The 4,301-nt window shown below is 43.2% G+C and overlaps 1 annotated feature.

Annotated features, from left to right (window-relative positions):
- Nucleotides 798-1,302: an enhancer, noted in NCBI's record as "OCT4-NANOG-H3K27ac hESC enhancer chr20:53278465-53278969 (GRCh37/hg19 assembly coordinates)". NCBI's record gives its function as "activates a minimal SCP1, AML or CMV promoter by ChIP-STARR-seq in naive H9 embryonic stem cells {active_cell/tissue: H9 hESC(naive)}" and the evidence as "EXISTENCE:reporter gene assay evidence [ECO:0000049][PMID:30033119]".

The following is a 4,301-nucleotide window of genomic DNA, read 5'->3' as shown; positions in this document are numbered from 1 at the left end:
CTTGTCAACACCAGAAGTTTGTTAATGAAAAAGTGGGTTTTAGAAGTGCGCTCTTGGTGAATAAAGGGTATGCAAGGATAAATGGAATAGCTAGAAACACTGTGGACATTCCCATTCTTTGGGGGATTACGGAGTACAGCTCCTGCGGGCCCCAGCAAGTACCTTCACTTGCAAAATGGTGCCCTCACAAGCTTAGAATTCCCAACTGGTCTTCATTTGAACTCCTCCACCTCCAGCTGGAAACTCAGCTGAATGTTACTGCCAGAATATTGTCCTATCGGCCTCAAGAAATCTTTCCCATGCAATGCAAGCAGAACATCTGAAAGTACAGAGAGCTCACTGCTCAGCCCATATCACTGTCTTTGTGTCTGCTGACAAATGGTTATTAGCAAGTATCTGGAAATGTGGTGCATTTTGCACTGGAAACCACTAATTGATGGCCATGTTTGAGAGTAAAGGCCTGTCCTCACCTCCTAGTTATTGGAAGCTACTGAATTATTTTTAATTATTTTTCTGAGTCCCAACAGGAAACAAGAAACTACTGATGTAACAACCACCAGTCAAATTGGTTGCAAGAAAAACACTGCATCTTTTATATGCATTGGACCTACTGTTTACTAAATGTAAGGCTCCAACAACTCTGCGAAGTACTTGGTTTGACTCAACACTTACCAAAAATTCACTTAAGAACAAACTTTTTTTCTCCCCGTCTTAGGAACCTCAATTGGCATCTCATGGAACACATTTGGGGAAATCCTAGACTAGCCCTGTCTGACCCTCTCACTATTAACTGACATTTCCTCCAGGCAAAGAGAGGACCAGAATTAGACACTGGCTTTTATGTCTTCAGAGCTGAGTTCTTCCTATTGTTGTCTGCTCTTTTCTTCCTTCTCCAAGTAAATCAGAGGATCATCAGAAACCCTATTGAAGCCTCCCTCGGACGGCACTGTGATCTTTATCTTCAAAGCCATCCTGCTAGGGCTCCGCTTGAAATTTGCATGACAGCTGAAGGAAAATAAATTGGGGGGCTGGCTCCCTTTGATAACCAAATGATCCTCTTTCTTTCTTTGTTCTGAAGGTACAACTCTAAAAGGAATTCAGTGATGAGGAAAATAATTCTATAGCATTTAGCTCTGTGCAGTCACTGTGACTGGCTTGAGGATTTGATTAAAATAGGAACCCTGTGGCTTCTGTCCTCAACCGAGGTCAATTATTAAATGACTGGACTGCGAGTTTTAAAAGGCGAGCATCAGTCCTGGGTGGGAGCCACATGAAGAAGCACAAAAGAGACAGAAAAAGTCAACGAACAATCCCCAGTCCCGCTCAGTTGCCTTCTTCTCAAGGGGCACCTTCAGGACAGGGCGGCTACGGAATCAGGAGACCCAGTGTAAAATGAAAACGTGAACTTCCTGTTCCAAAAGCAGGAAAAAAAGTGGGTCAAAGGAACTAAAATACAAACATTTTTCCTTTCTTCCTCTCAACTTGTCATTGTAGGTTTTTTATTGCTATTTGATGTCATAAGTAAAAACAAAAAACTGAAATTTTAAATTATGGGCATGAATTTCACCATTTACCTTTATATTGTATAATGTCCTTTCTAAATGTTAATATAAGAACATGTAATTCATGTGCTGAATCACGAAAATTACACAGCTCATTTTTCCTAGCTCATATACTTGCTTATGTGTTCTCTTCTTGCCAAAACAGCAGAAATGCTGCATAGAACTACCCCACTTCTTTGCATCTCATTACTTGATACATGCATATTCTACCGACACTCCACTGTCAGAGTCATTTGAACCAGAGCAACTCCATCTTGAATACGAGCTGGGTAGAATAAAGCTGAGACCTACTGGGCTGCATTCCCAGATAGTTATGGCATTCTAAGTCACAGGATGAGATTGGAGGTCTGCAAAATACAGGTCATAAAGACCTTGCTGATAAAACAGGTTGCAATAAAGAAGCGGGCTAAGACTCATCAAAACCAAGGTGGCGATGAGAGTGACCTGTGGTCGTCCTCACTGCTACACTCCCACCAGCACCATGACAGTTTACAAAATCCATGGTAATGTCAGGAAGTTCCCCTGCATGGTCTAAAAAAGGGGAGAATCCTCAGTTACAGAAATCACCCACTCCTTTCCTGGAAAACTCATGAATAATCCACCCCTTGTTTAGCATATAATCAATAACCATAAAAATGGGCAACCAGCAGCCCTTAGGGCTCCTCTGCCTATGGAGGAGCCATTCTTTTATTTCTTTACTTTCATAATAAACTTGCTTTCACTTTATAGACTCACCTCAAATTCCTTCTTGTGTGAGATCCGAGAACCCTCTGTTTGGGTCTGGATTGGGACCCTTTTCCAGTAACACTACCACTGGCTTACTGATGAACAAGGAAGGAAATCCGGGTTGCTCCAGATTTGCTTTTCCTTCTGTGTTGTACGAGGAAGCAATGTACGTAAGAAAGGTTGAAATAGGCTTCCTCAGATGTTTATATTTCTTAGAATGCCATTGCCTTCTTTCTGCATTTGAAGCAAGCTCTGATTCAAAGGAAAAGCCGCTTCGGGGCCGTGGCCCCTCTTACTCAGCGACAGAGGTGACATACTTCCCTTTTGAACCCCAGGTATCTGAGACAGGTCTCAATTTAGGAAGTTTATTTGGCCAAAGTTTAGCACACACGCCCATGACACAGCCTCAGGAGGTCCTGATGACAGGTGCCCAGGGTGGTCAGGGCATAGCTTGGTTTTATATATTTTAGGGAGACATGAGACATCAATCAATACATGAAAGATGTACACTGGGGCCGGGTGTGGTGGCTTACACCTGTAATCCCGGCACTTTGGGAGGCCAAGGCAGGTGGATCACGAGGTCAGGAGTTCAAGACCAGCCTGGCCAACGTGGTGAAACCCCGTCTCTACTAAAAATACAAAAAATTAGCCGGGCGTAGTGGCGGATGTCTGTAATCCCAGCTACTCGGGAGGCTGAGGCAGAGAATTGCTTGAACCCGGGGAGCGGAGGTTGCAGTGCGCTACTGCACTCCAGCCTGAGTGACAGAGTAAGACTCTGTCTCAAAAATAAAAATAAAAAATAAAAAAAAAAAGTACACTGATTCAGTCTGGAAAGGTGGGACTTGAAACGGAGAGGGGCCTTCCAGGTCATAGGTAGGTAAGAGACAAATGGTTGCATTCTTTTGAGTTTCTGATTAGCCATTCCAAAGGAGGCCATCAGATATGCGTTTATCTCAGTGAGCAGAGGGATGACTTTGAATTCTGTCTATCTTTTGTCCACAAGGAAATTCCTAGGGAGGGAAGTATGCAGCTGTTTTATCTTAGTAGCTATCATTTTAGGTATAGAGTGGAAGTTAGGTTTGCCCTAAGCAGTTCCCAGCCTGACTATTTTTCCCTTTGGCTTCATGATTTTGGTGTCCCAAGATTTATTTTCCTTTCATAGTTTGTATTTGCGTTGGGACTCACTGCCACGCACCTCAGGTCCCCTGGAATTCTGTGTTCATGGGGCATCGTGAATGCTACATGCAAATAAAGCTGCAAGGCGCTCACTCAGTCTGCAGATATCTCTTCTGCTCACAGGCAGGCTCCATTATTCCATCAGACTTTACTTATAAAACACAAGTTCAAAGAAGGAAACACTGAGAATTTCAAGAAGGTTACAGCAGAGCATTAAATCAAGTGTGGGACGCTTCTGAGCATGGGGACCTGTGCAGCTGCCTGGGTTGCACATCCATGAAACCAGCCCTGCTTGTGTGTCCTATACAGGGCTAGGCACTCAAGCCACAGAACCTGCATCTCAGGGCTGTCCCCAGGCAGAAGGCAATGCAGAGCGGGAGCTTTCCTGCTTTCCCTGTTCATGGTGCCCTTAATGTCACAGTGATACTTCTCCTAGTACTCTTAGGCCAAAAGAAATATCTAGCAGTTCCATTTATTAAGCTGTTAAATCCAAACAATGTAATCAGTATTTATTTCCTGATACATTGGTAGCCATTAAAACAACACCTACGTCAAAAGAAAAAATACTTGTATTTCATTCCTAAGTAACTATAATTACTTGTTCATGTTGTCTCTGTGTGTGTGTGTTGAGCATTGTGGTCCCTCAAACCTGGGAATCAGATTGGACACCACCCCCCTCATCTCCTGATCCACATTGATTTTCACAGAGTATTTGCTTTTTTAATCAAAACAACGGCCAAAGACCCAGCTTCACAAAAAATGTGGTATCATGAAAATGAATTTCGTGTGATATCATGTTAAAACTGAACATCCTCAAGCCAGTAATTCCCAAGGGTC

Source organism: Homo sapiens, chromosome 20, assembly GCF_000001405.40.
Source record: "Homo sapiens chromosome 20, GRCh38.p14 Primary Assembly".
Taxonomy (NCBI): domain Eukaryota; kingdom Metazoa; phylum Chordata; class Mammalia; order Primates; family Hominidae; genus Homo; species Homo sapiens.
This window is presented reverse-complemented; position numbering and strand designations above follow the sequence as displayed.